At 44.8% G+C, this 17,374-nt stretch overlaps 1 protein-coding gene across 29 annotated transcripts in view; it reads right to left on the bottom strand.

Annotated features, from left to right (window-relative positions):
- Positions 1-17,374, bottom strand: part of DYNC2I1 (dynein 2 intermediate chain 1) — a 119,454-nt gene that overhangs the window by 16,163 nt on the left and 85,917 nt on the right. For 24 of the 29 annotated variants that reach the window (XR_007060058.1, XR_007060061.1, XR_007060060.1 and 21 more), the window contains 7 exons: positions 16,236-16,349; positions 16,073-16,134; positions 15,493-15,544; positions 12,021-12,081; positions 8,308-8,407; positions 7,987-8,118; positions 388-611 (listed from right to left, as the gene is read on the bottom strand). Coding sequence is in view for 21 of the 29 variants with exons in the window: in XM_047420560.1 (XP_047276516.1) it covers positions 388-611; positions 7,987-8,118; positions 8,308-8,407; positions 12,021-12,081; positions 15,493-15,544; positions 16,073-16,134; positions 16,236-16,349 (745 nt within the window). In the remaining 8 variants the exon portion in view is untranslated. Of the gene's footprint in view, positions 1-387; positions 612-7,986; positions 8,119-8,307; positions 8,408-12,020; positions 12,082-15,492; positions 15,545-16,072; positions 16,135-16,235; positions 16,350-17,374 lie in introns of those variants that run through there. The other 5 variants (XM_017012382.2, XM_047420558.1, XM_047420559.1 and 2 more) reach the window with 2 other exon arrangements.

Raw genomic sequence — 17,374 nt, 5'->3', positions numbered from 1 at the left:
TGGGCTAAATATAAAATAATCACACTTTAAAGTGATTTTAAAAATATTATTTAAATGCACAACCCAAGAGTGAACCCTCAGGTAAGCCGTCGACTCGGTGGTGGTGGTGTGGGAACAGGCCCGTGATTGCACCGCACGTGCCTCCGGCCGGGATGTGGGACAGGGTGCTAGAAATCTCTGCCTTCCACTCAAATTTCTGTGAACCTAACACCGCTCTCAAAAACAATACTTTTTAATTTTTAACTGAACATATTATTTAAATTTACATATGGCCACATCTTAAAATGTAGCAGCCTCATGCAAAAATTAATGAAGAAAGACCGTAAGTGGCACCCGTGGCCGAAGCCCCCCCACAACCAGCAGCTGGTCCAGAGCTTCCCCACTTGCCTGTTGGGGGAGACCTGCTGTTTGGCGACAGGACCCAGATCGCTCTGGAGGAGGTCCCAGATGTAGATGTTGGATGTGTCGTCCTGCACCAGGAACACGGCAGGCCTGGTTGGGGACCACTGCAGGCCGGTGACCGCATGGCTGTCCGTGCTGCTGTCCCACTGCAGGAGCGGAAACGCGGAGCTCAGCTGGTGCAGCCTGATGCTTCCGTCCGAACAGCCGGCCTATGACCAGGAAGAAAGAACACTGCTGAGCATGGCCTTTTTCTTTTTGAGACAGGGTCTCACTCTGTCACCCAGCCTGGAGTGCAGTGGTGCAATCACAGCTCATGGCAGCTTGACCTCCCGGGCTCAATCAATCCTCCTGCCTCGGCCTCCTGAGTAGCTGAGACTACACGCAGGCACCACTACACCCACCTTTTATATCGTTCGTAGAGATGAGGTCTCACTATGTTGCCCAAGCTGGTCTCGAACTCCTGGCCTCAAGTGATCCTCCTACCTTGGCCTCCCAAAGTGCTGGGAGTACAGGTGTGAGCCATCATGCCCAGCCTCTTTTTTGTTTTTTTCGTAACTTGATCTCAGCAGCCAGAGAAATTTTTTGGAGGATGAGCTTGCTTTAGTTTGTACTGCAAAAACATTAATTTGTTGTTTTCCTAACATAAAATTGTAACATTGAATCTCTCCTCACAAATTACAAAGGTGAGCACTCACCTGACTCTGATACACTTTCTCTTCCAAAATGGCCAATAATCAACAGATTCAGCGTATATATAAACACAAATTTAACAAAGTTGAATATCAGTGATTCAAATATGGGCCATTAAGATTGGCTCCATGAAAATATGGCACCTTTTAAAAAACTACATACATTTGTGTCAATAATATGGTTATATACTTCTCTTGGATTGAAATTTTCATAAAATCAAATTTGTTTTCCAATTTGTTGGCTTATAGATGTTCATAATAGTCTCTAATGATTATTTGTATTTCTGAGGGCTCAGTTGTTGTATCTCCTCTTTGGTTTCTGATTTTATTTTATTTGGGTCTTCTTTTTTCTTAGTTATTCTAGCTAAAAGTTTGTCGATTTTGCTTATCTTTCAAAACCTAACCTTTCATTTCATTGATCTTCTGTAATTTCTTTGTCTCAATTTATTTATTTCTGCTCTGAACTTTACTATTTCTTTCCTTCCACTAATTTTGAGTTTGGTTTGTTCTTGCTTTTCTCCTTCCTTGAGGTGCATTGTTACATTGTTTATTTGAAGTCTTTCTACTTTTTTAGATGTAGGCATTTATTACTATCAACTTCTCTCTTAGTATTGCTTTTGCCATATCCCATAGATTTTGATATGCCACATTTCCATTTTCATTTGTTTCAATAAATTTTTAAATGTCCTTCTTAATTTCTTAATTGACCCACTGGACATTCAGGAAGATGTTTAATTTCCATGTGTTTGTGTATTTTCCAAGGTTCCTCCTGTTATTGATCTCTAGTTCTATTCCATGATAATCATAAGATACTCAATATGATTTCTATTCTTCTGAATTTGTACGACTTGTCTGGGGCCTAAGATATGGTGTATTCTGGATGATGTCTCATGTGCTAGTGTAAAGAATGGGTATTCTGCAGCAGTTGAGAGAAATATTCTGTAAATGTTAGGCCTATTTGGTCTAGTGCAGGGGTCCCCAGCCTCTGGGCCATGGACCAGTACCAGACCACGGCCTATTACGAACTGGGCCACACAGCAACAGGTGAGCAGCAGGCGAGTGAGCATTACCACCTGAACCCCACCTCCTGTCAGATCAGCGGCAGCACTAGATTCTCACAGAAGCATGAACCCTATTGTGAACTGTGTATGCGAGGGATCTAGGCTGCAGTCTCCTCATGAGAATCTAATGCCTGATGATCTGAGGTGGAACAATTTCATCCTGAAACTGTCCCCCAAATCCCCAGTTCTGGGAAAAAATGTCTTCCACAAAAACCAGTCTCTGGTGCCAAAAAGGTTGGGGACCACTGGTCTAGTGTGTAGTTTAACTCTGATGCTTCTTTGTTGACTTTCTGTCTGGGTAATCTGTCCATTACTGAGAGTGGGGTGCTGAAGTACCCTACTATTATTGCATTACAGTCTATTTCTGTTTTAGATCTATTAATCTTTGCTTTCTATACTTGGGAGCTCTGGTGTTGGGTACATAGATACTTGTAACTGTTATATCCTCTTGCTGAATTGACCCCTGTATCATTATATAGTAAATTCACCCATTATCATTATATATAGACCCCTTTTTGTCATTTTTTACAGTCTTTGATTTGTAGTCTAATTTATCTGCCATGAGTATAGCCACTCTTGCTCTTCTTTGGTTTCTAGTTGTATAGAATACCTTTTTCCACCCTTTTAGTATGAGTGTGTCTTTATAGGTGAAGTGAATTTCTTGAGAGCAGCCTACAGTTGGGTCTTGTTTCTTTAACCATTCAGCCATTCTATGCCTTTTAATTGGAGAATTGAGACCATTTACATTCAGTGATATTATGGCTAAGTGAGAACATTCTACTGCCATTTTGTTGCTTGATTTCTGCTTAAGACTCCTCTCTTCCTTTGTTCCTTTCTGCCTGTCTTCCTTCTCTCTGCTAGTATGTTCTAATTTGTTGCTTTTTGTTTTGAATGAAGCTATTATAGGTTTTTGTATTGTGATTATTTACTTATTTATTGAGACGGGATCTCATTCTGTGACCTAGACTGAAGTACAGTGGCAAGATCACAGCTCACTGCAGCTTCGACCTCCTAGGCTCAATCAACCTTCCCTCATCAGCCTCCCAAGTAGCTAGCTGGGACTACAGGTGGGCATGGGCACCACTGTACCCAGCTGATTGGTTTTGTTTGGGTTTTTTTTTGTAGAGATGAGGTCTATGTTGCTCAAACTGGTCTCAAACTCCCAGACTCAAGCAATCTTCCCACCTCAGCCTCCCAAAGTGCTGGGATTATAGGCATAAGCCCCAGCACCCAGCCCTAAAACAAGTTATTTTAAAGAGATAACAACTTACCTTAGAATACAAATAAGGAAATAAAAACAAAGGAAAGAAAACACCAAACAAAAAATTCTACACTTTAACCCTCTCACATTTTGACTTTTAGTTGTCTCAATTTATATATTTTTAAATTACTTATATCTTAAGAAGTTGCTATAGCTATTATTGTTTTTAATAGGTCTTTTTGGCTTCATAGTAGAGTTATGAGCATATTGTACAAATACAGTAACACAGTATTCTGGGTTTGTCCATGTATTTAATTACATGAATGGGTTTTATACCTTGATAAGTTTTTTGTTTTTGCGTGTATTTTTTTTTCTTTCAGGTTGAAGAACTCCCTTTAGCATTTCTTTTGTTGTTGTTGTTGTTGTTGAGATGGAGTTTCACTCTGTCACCCAGACTGGAGTGCGGTGGTGCAATCTCAGCTCACTGCAACCTTTGCCTCCCATGTTAAAGCGATTCTCCTGTCTTAGCTTCCTTAGTAGCTGGGATTACAGGTGCCCGCCACCACATCTGGCTAATTTTTATATTTTTAGTAGAGACATATTTCATCATGTTGGCCAGGCTGGTCTCGAACTCCTGACCTCAACTGATCCACCCGCTTCAACCTTCAAAGTGCTGCGATTACAGGCGTGAGCCACCATGCCCAGCCTCCCTTTAGCATTTCTTGCAAGATGGGTCTGAGGATGGTGAATTCTCTCAGCTTTTGTATATCTGGGAAAGACTTTAACCCTCCCTCATATTTGAATGACAGTTTTGCTGGATACGGTATTCTTGGATGGCAATGTTCTTCATTTAGCACTTTGAAAATGTCACTCTACTCCCTCCTGGCCTGTATGGTTTCCACTGAGATGTCTGTTGCCAGATGAACTGGAACTCCTTTATATGTTATTTGCTTCTTATCTCTCACTGCTTTTAGGATCTTCTCTTTCTCCTTCACCTTTGAGAGTCTGATTATTAAATGCCTTGGGGTAATCTTATTTGGGTTGAATCTGTTTGATGTTCTCTGACCTTCCTATACCTGGATATTGATCTCCTTATGAAGTTTTGGAAAGTTTTCTGTTATCATTTCTTTGAATACATTTTCTAACCCTTGTTAGCTCCCTCTTGAATACCAATAATTCTTAGATTTGGTCTTTTGTGGTTATTTTCTGTCTTGTAGGTAGTCTTTATTCCTTTTTGTTCTTTTTTCTCCTCTGATTATATATTTCCTTTCTTTTTTCTTTTTAGAAACAGTATTCACTCTGTCACCCAGGCTGGAGGACAATGGCACAATCAGGGCTCACTGCAGCCTTGGCCTTCCAGGCTCAAGTGATCCTACTGCCTCAGCCTCCATTTGCCTCCACATGCCACCATTCTTGGCAAATTTTTTAATTTTTTTTGTAGAGATAGGGTCTCCCTATGTTGCTCAAGCTGGCTCAAGAGATCCTCCTGCCTTGGCCTCCCAAATGCTGGGATTACAGGCATGGGCCACTGCACCCAGCCTTGTGTCTTTTTTTTTTTTTCTTGAGACAGTCTCACCCTGTCACCCAGGCTGGAGTGCCCACAATCTCAGCTCACTGCAAGCTCTGCCTCCCAGGTTCACACCATTCTCCTGCCTTAGCCTCCCAAGTAGCTGGGACTACAGGCGCCCGCCACCACGCCAGGCTAATTTTTTGTATTTTTAGTACAGATGGGGTTTCACCGTGTCAGCCAGGATGCTCTCGATCTCCTGACCTCGTGATCCACCCGCCTCGGCCTCCCAAAGTGCTGGGATTATAGGCGTGAGCCACCGCGCCCAGCATTGATTGTGTATTTTCTAATAGCCTGTTTTGATCTCACCTATTCATTCCTCTACTTGATCCACTCTGCTGCTGACAGCCTATAATGAATTTCTGCAGTCCAGCAAATATGTTTCTCAGTTCCAAGATTTGTTTGATTTTTTAAATTATTTCAATCTCTTTGTTAAATTTCTCTGATAAATTTCTGAATTGCTTTTCTGTGTTGTCTTGGAGATCACAGAGTTTCCTTAAAATTGCTCTTCTGAACTCTTGGTCAGAGAGCTCACAAATCACTGCCTCATTAGGTCAGTCACTGGATTTTTGCTTTGTCCTTCTGGGGAGGTCATGATTCCCTGTTTGCTGCTGTTTCTTGTGGGTGTATGTCTGTGTCTTTGCATTGCAGGATTAGTTATTTATTCCAGTTTTCTCTGTCCAGCTTGTTTTGGTTTTTATTGAATATATTTACTTAGCAAATCTTCTCTGCTAGGTTGCTGCCTCCTTTTCAGCTATAGGTGTCACCTTAAGACGAGGTTCACTTTGGCTGTATTTAGTGATTGAGGGAGGCCTGTCCCAAATGAGGGAAGTCTCAAAGGGAAGTCTCCCTGCCTGTGTCAGGGTTTGTGTTCAGAAGACCTGTGGAATAAACCTCCTGGAGCATGGTGCTATGAGCGGCCACTCTGATTGAGTGCCTCCTTTGGCTGAGGTGCAGAATTTTCAGGGCTGCAGACAGTAGTCCTGCCTCCCAGCTTTGTTTCTGGGTGTCCTCAGGGGTATTTCTTCCTTCAGGCACTCGGGATGCTCCCCATGGGCTGAGGCAGGGACAGGGCACCCAAGAAAGTAGAAAAACTGGTTGTCCACCTCAATTTTACTTTCACAAACCATGAGTTAAGGGGAGATTTTCCATGCACTTGGTGCCAGGCCAAATAAGGGGGAAGGGACATTGTGGATATGGAAGCCCAGTTCTCCTCCCATCTGCTTGGAGCTTTTCTACTCTCTGTGGCCCCAGGAACTGTCTTATCTTCACAATTGAGTTCTAAGTTCTTATTGGTGAAGATCTTGGTGCTATGTATTTGGTTTTGGTTTTTTGTGGGGAGAGAAGCCAAAAAAAGCTCAAGAGCTCCACACTGGAAATCACCAACAACAAAATTATTAATGAGACTTTTTTTGTTTTTGTTTTGAGACGGAGTTTTGCTTTTGTTGCCCAGGCTGAGTGCAATGGCACTATCTCGGCTCATCACAACCTCTGACTCCTGGGTTAAAGCGATTCTCTTGCCTCAGCCTCCCAAGTAGCTGGGATTACAGGCATGTGTCACCACGCCAGGCTAATTTTATGTTTTTAGTAGAGACGGAGTTTTGCCATGTTGGCCAGCATGGTTTTGAACCCCTACCTCAGGTGACCCACCTGCCTGGGATGCCCGAAGTGCTGGGATTTGGGCCACCGTGCCCAGATAACTTTGTATTTTTAGTAGAGATGGGGCTTCTCCATGTTGGTCAGGCTGGTCTTGAACTCCCGACCTCAGGTGATCTGCCCACCTCAGCCTCCCAAAGTGCTGGGATTACAGGCGTGAGCCACAGCACCCAGCCTAAAGAGACATTTTACATTCTTTTATTCACACTAATTCTTCAAAATTTGGTGTGTATTTCACACCTCCAGCACATCCCAGCCTTGCCTGACCACATTCCAGGCTCCCAACAGCCACAGGGGGACATTACTCAGCAGCTCAAATGCAGTCTTTGGAAATACAAAGATACATGAAATACCATCTCTGCCCTCAGCAACCTTAGTTTATGTGACTGACATATAAACATAATTTATAATGTTTTAAGTACTATAAGAGTAGTGTGAATAAATAACAATCTTTCCCCTCAATCTCAAGTACACGGAAATTTGTAAACACTAGTGAGAGAAGGGGATATCTGAGTTATAACTTAATGCCTTGACTGTCATATAATTCTTGTTAACTATCACATTTAATCACGTATAAAGTTGTTTAATATTTTGCCTTCTGTCCTATCTTACCCAAACCAACCCATAAACTGACCTTGGAGTCTACAGGACAACTGTGACTAGGGTGAGCTGGGCTGACACCAGGCCCTGGAGGGGAAGACAGCAAGCAGCTCGCACCCACACACACATTTCCTGCAGCATGAGTGCAGCGCAGGGACTGCTGCCTGCCCGACGGCCATCCCTGGACTTTCAGGTTCAAGACTCTGAACATTAATTTCTATTGTGTTAAACAGTAAAAGAACACAGGCAAAAATCCTCACACTAAGAATTTCTTCACATTTTTGGCTGTATCATAGGTTTTGGTATTTCATATTCTTCTGTTAAATTCTAACTAGTTTGTAATTGAACCAAGTATTACTCGAGAGTTTAATTTCTACATAGGTTTTGTTTTTAAAATTTGTTATTAATTTCATGTTTCTCCTTTTTAAACCACTGACGCCCCATAAATGACCAATTTGTGCTCTAGTAAATGATTAACTTTTAAAATTTTCCAATGGATCACTGCAAGTGTTATGCTGCCCAAACAGGCAAAGAGTATCACTAAAAAGAACTGGCAAGCCTAGGCAACACAGGGAGACCTCGTCTCTACAAAAAAATACATTTTTTAAATTAGCCAGGCATAGTGGCATGCACCTGTACAGGTCCCAGCTACTCGGGAGGCTGAGGTGGGAGGGTCATTTGAGCCCAGGAGTTCAAGGCTGCAGTGAGCTATGACCACATCACTGCACTCCAGCTTGGGTGACAGAGCAAGACCCTGTCTCAAAAAACAAAAAAAGAAGAATTGGAGCTCTGAAAAACAAACTTTCTTACCAAAAATATTGGTTCTCCAAATGGTGAAAAATCAATGACATTAACTTTCACTGGTCTTATACCATGTTGCTGAGGTTTGAATAGTTTGGGAGCCACTCTCAAATCTTGTCTTGTGCCATGGCTTATGAGACCCTGTGAAGAAGAAGCCCAAGAGTGACTGAACGAGTGCATTACACACGAGATTGGATACAGCTACTGTTCCTCAAACAATTTAAACTTTATAAAGAAAAGAGTAAGTTAATCCTAAATCAAGATATTTATCAGGTAAGTCAGGAAAACAAGGAGAATGAGTAATAGGATTAAATTTAAAATACTACTCACCATGTCTGTGCCAATAATAAAGTGATTAGGATCTGAAGGCAGAAATTTAACATTCAGTGTTTGTGTAGTGCCCCAAAATTCATTACCTTTATGGGAAAGACTGAAAAAATAAAGTAACAAAATGAACAGATGGACTGTTTCCAACCTTAAGAATAATGATGGTATTAACACTGATTTGCACTACAATACATCGATGTATAACAGGCCATGTCACATTCCTCTGTGGGTTTAGCCACTCTGTTTCTATTTTCTTCTGCTACTACACTCTTGATAATTTTTTCAGAGTTATCCTTCTGTTCCCTAATTCTTTCTTCAGCTATATCTAATCTGCTATGTAACCATTCACTTGGTTGTAAATTTCAGAGATAACAGTTTCATTTCTAGAAATTTCTTTTAGATTGTACAACTGTCTCAAGTTCTTAGTGTGTGACTCCTACTTTTTGCACCAAGGTAGACTATTTCTTCATGCTTGTAGTTGTGAGCTCATCTGCAGCAGACTGCTTCTCATAAGAAACCTGTGAGCCCCAATTTGCAAACATATCTTTACCCACCAGGGGGTTTTGCGTCTACTTTAACTATGAACCCACTGAGGCCACTGGTCTAGAACTGTGATGCTAACATCTCAGCTTGTGGGTTCCCACACACCCACTCAGCTTAGGATTTCAAGCTCTTCCAAGCTCCTCTGTCTTCCCTTGGCTGTGGTGCGGCTTTCTGAATTTCCCTATCACTGCAGGAGCAGTGAGTTCCAGAGTCCTGTGCAGGGGTCTCAGTTCTACCTCCTTGCCTCAGGCAAACCCAATGCGTCGCCTGGTTCTGCATGGGGCTCAAGCCCCAGAGACAGCTCAGAAGGTCTGAGACAGCCTGGGCTTCACACCCAGCCTCCAAGCCATCACATAGCAGCTCAAAAGCTTATGACACTAACTTTAAGCTCTCTCCTGTTTATGGCATTTAGAGATTTTCCTTTCCTTTTAAAAACTATACTTAGTTTTATTTTTTCCTTTATATGGCCTATGTATTTGTAACAGAGAGATGCCCACAGTTGCTCCATCTGCCACACCCACATCATCAAAGTCAGCATGTGGCCATGCTATCAGCCTCCTTTCCAATTTTCTCTTTCTGTCCACATTCAGGACTGCAAATGCCACCTCTTGGTTGACGACTCCCAAATCCTTACCTCCATCTGGGGTTTCTGCTATGGAGGCCCCTAGCTCCTGGGCATCTCCACAGGCACCACAAGCTCAGCCTGTCCTCACTGGAACACACTGGGCTGCTCCCAACCCTCCCTGCTCCTATCCTCGCCTGGCAAGTGGTGCCCAGTCACCAACCAGACATGCTGGTGGAGGCAGAGGCCAACCTAGGCTCCTCCCTCCCACTGCTCCTATAATTGATGAGCTCCTGGGTTTTTTAAGTTCTACCCCTTTAGCCTGTGTCCAGCCCTCTGTACCTGTAATTGCTGCCTTTGTTCAGATCCTGGTTGTTCATGTCAGTCACTCCAGAAGCCTCCTAACTGCTCTCCCTGACTCCAGCCTCCCTTCCTCTGTTCCCAACTTACGCCACTGCCACACTGACCCATCTACATCACAGACAAGATGTGCTGCTCCTCGGCTCAACGTGCTGCAATGGCTCCTGACCACCTTTATGCTAATGTCCACACCCTTTAGCACGGCAGACAGACTCGTTAGGGCCTGACTCACCTGCCTCCCTCACCATCAGACCCACTGACAGCTCGTGACCACCTTTATGCTAATGTCCACACCCTTTAGCACGGCAGACAGACTCGTTAGGGCCTGGCTCACCTGCCTCCCTCAACATCGGACCCACTGACAGCTCCAAATGTGCCTCTGGGCACCCCCAGGTTCTGCTCCCTCTGACCATCTAACTCCACCTCAAAGGCCTGGCTCAGTCTTTGCCTCCTCAAGATGTCCCCACTGCACTCCATCCCCCAAGCTGCCCCCATCCTTTGAGCTCCCACAAGCCTTGTGCACATCCTGACAGCACACTTCGTCCTCTGCACGACAACCCTGAGGGACGGGGCCTCGCTGCAGGGGCGGTGCAGACAGAGCTGCAGGACCTGCTTCCCTGCAGGCAATGTCCTCCTGGGGACACTCATGCTCAGTGACTGATGGGATGCGGGGTACAAAGTCCCAGCCACGTGATTCTGGGAGGCCATTCCAGCTCACAACTCCTGGGCCCTGGGGAGTTGGCCGTGGGACCTGCCTCACAGCTCAGCTCCTCCTCTCGGCCCCATTCTGCCTCCTCCCGGCCCTTTCCCAGGCAGTAAGCCCAAGGAACTCCTTAAGAAACATCCTCACTCTGAACTCCACTGCAGAGCCTTCTTCCTGGGAAAGCAGGGAGCGCCCCCTGCAATCACGTAATGTTTACTCATCCGCCTCCTTCTCGGAGCACCTTGACGGAGGATGCTCCCCACTAGTGCTACAAAGCCTAGCACGTAGAATAAGCTCAACATGGTTGGTTGAGCAGAGTCTGAGGGAACATTTATTATGCATGGATCTCAGGAAGACACTGCTAGGAGTTTTTGGGTAAGAAAAAACCCAAACAGCGGACAGATTAGACACTTTCCTTCAAAGAGTGTGTGTGTAGTTAAGTACAGGAGAAGCTGATAGTTAAAGATAAATACAATGCACCATATAAAGCAATAAGGGCCCTAGCAGAGATAAAAAGTCGTAAAGAAACTCAGTGGGGGAACTGTAGAGGCTGGAGGGGTCAGGGGCTTGCCCAGGAACCATGTATGTTTGGCTCTGCAATACAGTAAATGACTTTTTAAAATATAATTGATTCTCTTTCATAATTAGTTGTAATTACTAATTACAACTGTAGTTGATTTAAAGTCTCCAAGCATGCATGAATTCATTAACACAACCCACAGGTTTTCTGATTAGGAAGAACCAGACCCCAAAATTTTGACCCCTGAGTGCAGTAAATGACAAGAAAAGATACTTTAGGAAATAAATTAACATAAAACATATAAATACCACAAATAATATTTGTACATTTGTGAAGACTTTTTATGTCATATTAAGTTATATGAGTAAAAGCATAAATCTAAATCTCTGAATAAAACTTTTTATCAATGTTTCTGGTTCCTGAAACTTTAAGTTTAACCTCAGGGTTGCATGAGAACTGAAGAATAGTTAAGTAAGACCAATTTAAAAGAAAATAACCTCTACTTAATGACAAAATGTTAGCTCTACACCTGGAAGCTGCATTTATTACATTCACTCATTAATAACAGACTAACAAGGCCGGGCGTGGGGGCTCACACCTGTAATCCCAGCACTTTGGGAGGCTGAGGTGGGTGGATCACCTGAGATCAGGTGTTCGAGACCAGCCTGATCAATATGATGAAACCCCATCTCTACTAAAAATACAAAAATTAGCCGGGCACGGTGGCAGGCGCCTGTAATCCCAGCTACTCAGAAGGCTGAACAGGAGAATCGCTTGAACCAGGGAGGCAGAGTTTGCAGCAAGCCAAGATTGCACCACTGCACTCCAGCCGGGGCAACAAGAGTGAAACTCCGTCTCAAAAAAATAAAAAAATAAAAATAATAGACTAACAAAACAGTAAAAAAACAATGTGAGAAAATGGACTTCTTCATCGCAAAAGCTCACCATTTACCGTATATGCAATTCCCCAATGTTATTTTCCTTCTAGGTCTTTGTGAGATAGTGAAGCATTTTCCCTCACATCTTACCTGTCACCCAACTGGATCAGAGCACTATGTACCAGCTTGACCCTCCCTCCAGGCATCAGACCTAAAAAGAGATGAACCAAAATCAATGCACCTTTCAATAGAAGCTAAATCAAAATCTAGTTATAGTTGCCTGGAATCATTTTTCATTGCTTAAATATCTGTGTTAGGAAATAACATCAAATGCAAATCAATACACAGCATCCCTCCCTTCCTCTGGGTGAGGTTCACGTATCCTGCCTTAGGAGAAGAATCGAGAATTCACAGTTCAAAGTCTTATGGGAAGAAAGATTGTAGAACCATGATCTGGGAGCCTTTATATCATTAGATCTGATAAAATAAGGGGGGTAAGCAAACCATACATGTGTACGAGTGTACATACACTAAATAAGCCTTAGATCACAGCAGCAAACGCTGTCCTGTGAATGTCCACCGAGGCTCCAACGCCTACAGGAAACTTGCAGGACCTCTCTCTCCACCATCCCAGAGACTCAGAAATCTGCTGGTCTCCGGGCAGAATGCACAGGAGGCAGAGTGGCTCCTCAGCCGAGTGCGTCTGGCCTCACTCTCTGTTCCAGCAGCTTCTCCAGCTTCCTTCTCAAACAACACAGAGCCACGGCTCTGAGGCCTGACTGCTCTTCCTTTCCTTCCTGAAAGCGTTCATGGCTACAGCGCTGGCTCCTCGGCCACCCACTGGTTTTGCCTCCTGTGTCTGCTCCCAATATCACTTTCCCTCTAAAACTACTACAAGGGGAAAAACTAGAAATCTATGGATATTAAAACCCAAATTCTGGGCAAGGCATTGCCTAAAACTCTGGGGGCAGGTGAATTAAAAGGAGATAGAAATAAGCCCAACCTGCAGCTGGGCAGGGTCCCTGTAGCTGCTGCGTATCTCCTGCCAGTCACAACCACAGTGAAGAAGGGTCAACGCCACTATTCACAAATGTGAAGCTTCCCGGCATGCCCCCCACCTGGCGTCTCGGCTCCCACGCCACCGCCTGTGGGCAGCTTTTCTGGCCGGGTCCTCCCACTGGCCCCTACACGCCATAGCCCACAGGCAGCCTTTCTGGCCAGGCCCTTTCCGACTGGGCCCCTACACGCCACCGCCCACGGGCAGCCTTTCTGGCCAGGCCTTCCCACTGCGCCTCCGCTCCAGTAAGTCCACCACCACTCGCCCTCTCCCGGGCTGGGGTCTTCGCCCAGGTCTCCTGGCACCTAGGACTGGACCTCGCTTATGCAGAGAACATTTCATAAAAAGATGGTGGCTGACTCCTTCTGAGACTTCAGCTCTCCAACAGCAACTCATCCAATGCCTACACAAAGAGCTGGCAGCCACCCTGAACAACGGGCTGGTCGGAACGTCCTCCCTTCCTAAAGGCAAGGCTGGAACATGGTTGCAATTTGGGTAAGTGGTTCAGTGAAGAAAGGGTGTTTTTATACATCAATATTTTAAAATGAAATACTCACCACCCCAGGATATCCTTTATATGACCATCATGTACTACAAAACATTTGTATGCAAATACTTTTTATGCAAAATGATTTTGTCTCCATAGCCGGATTATCACCTGACTATGGACAGAAATGATCTCAGTACCATCCGTAATTGCTTGACAAATACCTTGATCATGTAACAAGTTAACGGCACAACCAGCCTCAAGGCGCACTCTTAAGGTCACAAGAGTTCTGGGCATTTGGGGCGGAATCCTGGGTGTGAAGGGGGGTTGGTGCTGAGACTGACTATGTGGGTCTCGCCCCATCACTAACCCATCCCGTGACCTGTGTACGTTGAGAAGGAGGCACCAGGACCCCTGCCCAGGCTCCCTAGCTCTGACACTCCAGGATTCTAGGGGCAGCCTGGAGTGGACAACACAGAGCAGAACGGCTCCATGAGCAGAGAGGGTGCCGCATAAAGAATACATTGAGAAACATGGTGACTCCACCTCAAAAGCATTTAGCAGTGAAATGAGCACCACGACTGTCTTATTTTTACTGAAGTCAGAATCAACAGTAAACTTGTAAGGGCCACCACAGACGTGTGACTACGGGGCACAGAGCATTTGCTCCAAGGGCCAAAGTGGCCTCTTCCCTCATCTCAAGAGGTTAGGAACAAAGCCGGTCTCACTCATATTATTTTTTGCCAGATCTACATGGGAAAACACCCCTGATTCAAGCAAGGTGAAAGGGGGGTTTGTCATTACAAACTGGGTTGTGGGAGGCCAATGAGGTGAGAAAGAAGTTGAGATCAAAACATGGGCTAATCTCAACCACAGAACACAACAGGACTGAATTACTCCGTCACTTCTGAGCCCTTTCTGGAACTGAAAATCGTACTCCATAGCATCAAGAGCAGCCACCTGTGAGAGGTGCTATTAGCTTTGCTTCAAGTCACTTCTGCTCTGCCCAAACCCGGGGACCTTTGCCACCCTGGGATCCAGTCTAAGGGCCCTCGGGGCAGCATCCAGTGTTCCTGATACACCCTGGGGTTGTAAATCCAAAACTGAGAGGAAGAAGCCCCAAAATGAATGCGCACTGAAAGACTCGGACACCTGAAATACATAGGGAACAGCTACAGAACACAGCTGTCCTTGACTTGTCTGACAGAACTGAATGGTACTCAGCTGTAAACAGAACTCATTAAACCCTACTAAGATCAAAACATTCACTCAGGCTGGACGGTGGCTCATGCCTGTAATCCCAGCACTATGGGAGGCTGAGGTGGGTGGATGACCTCAAGTCAGGAGTTCAAGACCAGCCTGACCAACATGGTGAAACCCTGTCTCTACTAAAAATACAAAAATTAGCCGGGCGTGTTGGCAAGCACCTGTAATCCCAGCTACTTGGGAGGTTGAGGCAAGAGAATTGCTTGAACCCAGGAGGCAGAGGTTGCAGTGAGCCAAGATCACACCACTGCAGCAGCCTGGGCAACAGAGCGGGACTCTGTCTCAAAAAAAAAAAAAATTCATTCAGAATATCATTTGATTATTCTAGTTAATTGAGATGCCCGTTCAACAGTTTATAAGGTTATATGACATACACCTTTAATTTTCATTTTTCAGGTAGTAATTTATATTTTTCAAAGCAGTTATTGGTATCTTTTTTTTTTTTTTAACAGAGAGACAAGGTCTCATTCCATCACCCAGGCTGGAGTGTAGTGGCATGATCACGGCTCACTGCAGCCTCAAACTCCTAGGCTCAAGCAATCCTCCCACCTTAGCCTCCCAAGCAGTTGGGACTACAGGTGTGTGCCACCACGCCCAGCCAATTTTTGAATTTTTTTGTAGAGACGGGGTCTTGCTATGTTGTCCAGGCTGGTCTGGAACTCCTGGGCTCAAGCAATCCTCCTTCCTCAGCCTCCCAACGTGCTGAGGCTCCCAGCAGGTGTGAGCCACTGCACCTGACCGCAGTTATCAGTACTTTTAATCTCGATTCATTTTAGAAAACACTAAAATTAATTTTTTTACTTAATAGTTACCTAAATCACTTATTGAACCTGCGATGTCTGCCTTTGGTAATTCAACAACCACCTAAAAACAGAATATTGAAAATGAATATTGATACATTTTATAATTATGAAACAACCTAAGCAAAGCATAGCTCTAATTAAGATGGAGTGCTATTTAGGTACTAAAACATAACTGCTCCAGAAAAAGAGACTGATCTTTAGCCTCAGAACTAACACTCTACAAGTTGACTCCTTTGCTTTGATCTCCTCGTGTTCTCTTCACTTGGTGACTTAATCAACAGTCTTGGCGCATCCTCCAGGACAAGCCAATCCAGCATCACCTCAGCCCTAACATTTTGTTCCCTTCTCACTTTCATTCCGCGTTCCCAAAGCCCTGTGTGAGAGTCCCTATTTCACTGTCACGAAAGGGCCCCAAACCTGCCATGTGTGGCCTTCTGCATCCCTTCTGCTCAGGACCAAGAAGCCCAGTCTTGCTCTCCGTTTCCCACCACAGCTAACTGGGTCCCGCCCCCTGCGCCATTCAGGCGCCACCTCCACCCAGACCACCTCACTCAGGCCCCGCATGTGCCCGGCCTGGGCCACTACTCACCCATACATTGAGAACCCCACTCTCATCCAAGGAAGCGATGTGGAAGGACAAACCTGACATTTCTGATGAAGACAGAAACAAAAAGAAAGAAATGGCTTTAAATAAGGAAACCATATTTCACAACCATTGATGAAGGATTTTAAGAAAGTGAAGAATCACGTACCTTCTTGAGTAGAAAAGGGTGAAAGCACAAAGCTCTGCTTTTTGTGGACGGACGTTGAGATAGGTTCTACTGCTTGAAGAGGGCTTCGGTGGTTTACTGAGGTAAGGATTCCATCTGGAGTTCAAAAGCCCACAGCATCCACGTGTAAGTAGTAAGTTGAAGAAATGCAGTTCGCATCACACAGGGACAAACACGAGGTGCTTCTGGGTCTCACAGATCCAACTCTCTCCACACATCTTCCCAAAACACCCCAAAACCAACATGGACCACACACGACTGACACACACAACTGACACAGGACCACGACTTTCAGATTCCTAGGACACACGGGCCCCAGCCCCTGCTCTCCAGTCTGGAAGGCAGGAAGAAAGCTAAAGCCCACCATCCAAACAGAGCATGCCACACAGCCCGAAAGAAAACTCAGACAGAGAAAGTCTCTGCGAGGCCAAATCCTGGGGGCCACTCAAACAACTGAGGGGAAGGAGCTGGGAGGCAGAGGAGGTCGGAGCAGCACGGCCGATGGGAAGGGGGACGTGAACAGGAAATGGGGGAGACCTCCGCACACACCTCACAACTGCCAGCAAGAGCAAAATCCAGGCATTTGCAAAACCAAAGGAAAGGCAAACCCACCCCACCTACCACCTCGAGGCACAATGCCCACTGAAAAGATACCTGTCGCCAATCAATAAAGCAAAGCTCACTGACCTAAAATATACACCTACAGAATGTCTACAAGTAGAAAAACGCCAAACTCCATAGAAAGCTACTATAAGAAGAAAACAGAAAAAATGTAAATGAAAGCATTTCAGCTGATGAAAATTATCCCTCCTAAAAACAAGCAAAAGGCAGAAGACACAAAACTCAACGTTCCAAATGGAATCACATCTCCTCAAAGGGCATCTGGAAACATATCAAAACAACAAGCAAGAAAAAACACCGGGAATCAGAAATCAAGAACAGAATTAGACCCAAAAAAGCAAGAAATGAAATGAGAACTGGGATTGAACTCAGGAAAGAAACTGAAGAAAAAGACAAAACCATCTCAGAAATTAAGAATAAATTACAGGGTGTCTAAGTGAGAGGACCCAGATGAAGCACTGATGGCTCGACTGAGGAAAGGGCTGGTCTCCCGGGTGAGA

The sequence above is a fragment of the Homo sapiens genome, chromosome 7, assembly GCF_000001405.40.
Source record: "Homo sapiens chromosome 7, GRCh38.p14 Primary Assembly".
Lineage (NCBI taxonomy): Eukaryota > Metazoa > Chordata > Mammalia > Primates > Hominidae > Homo > Homo sapiens.
Note: the sequence above shows the minus strand (reverse complement) of the source record. Positions and strands in the feature narration are given on the sequence as shown.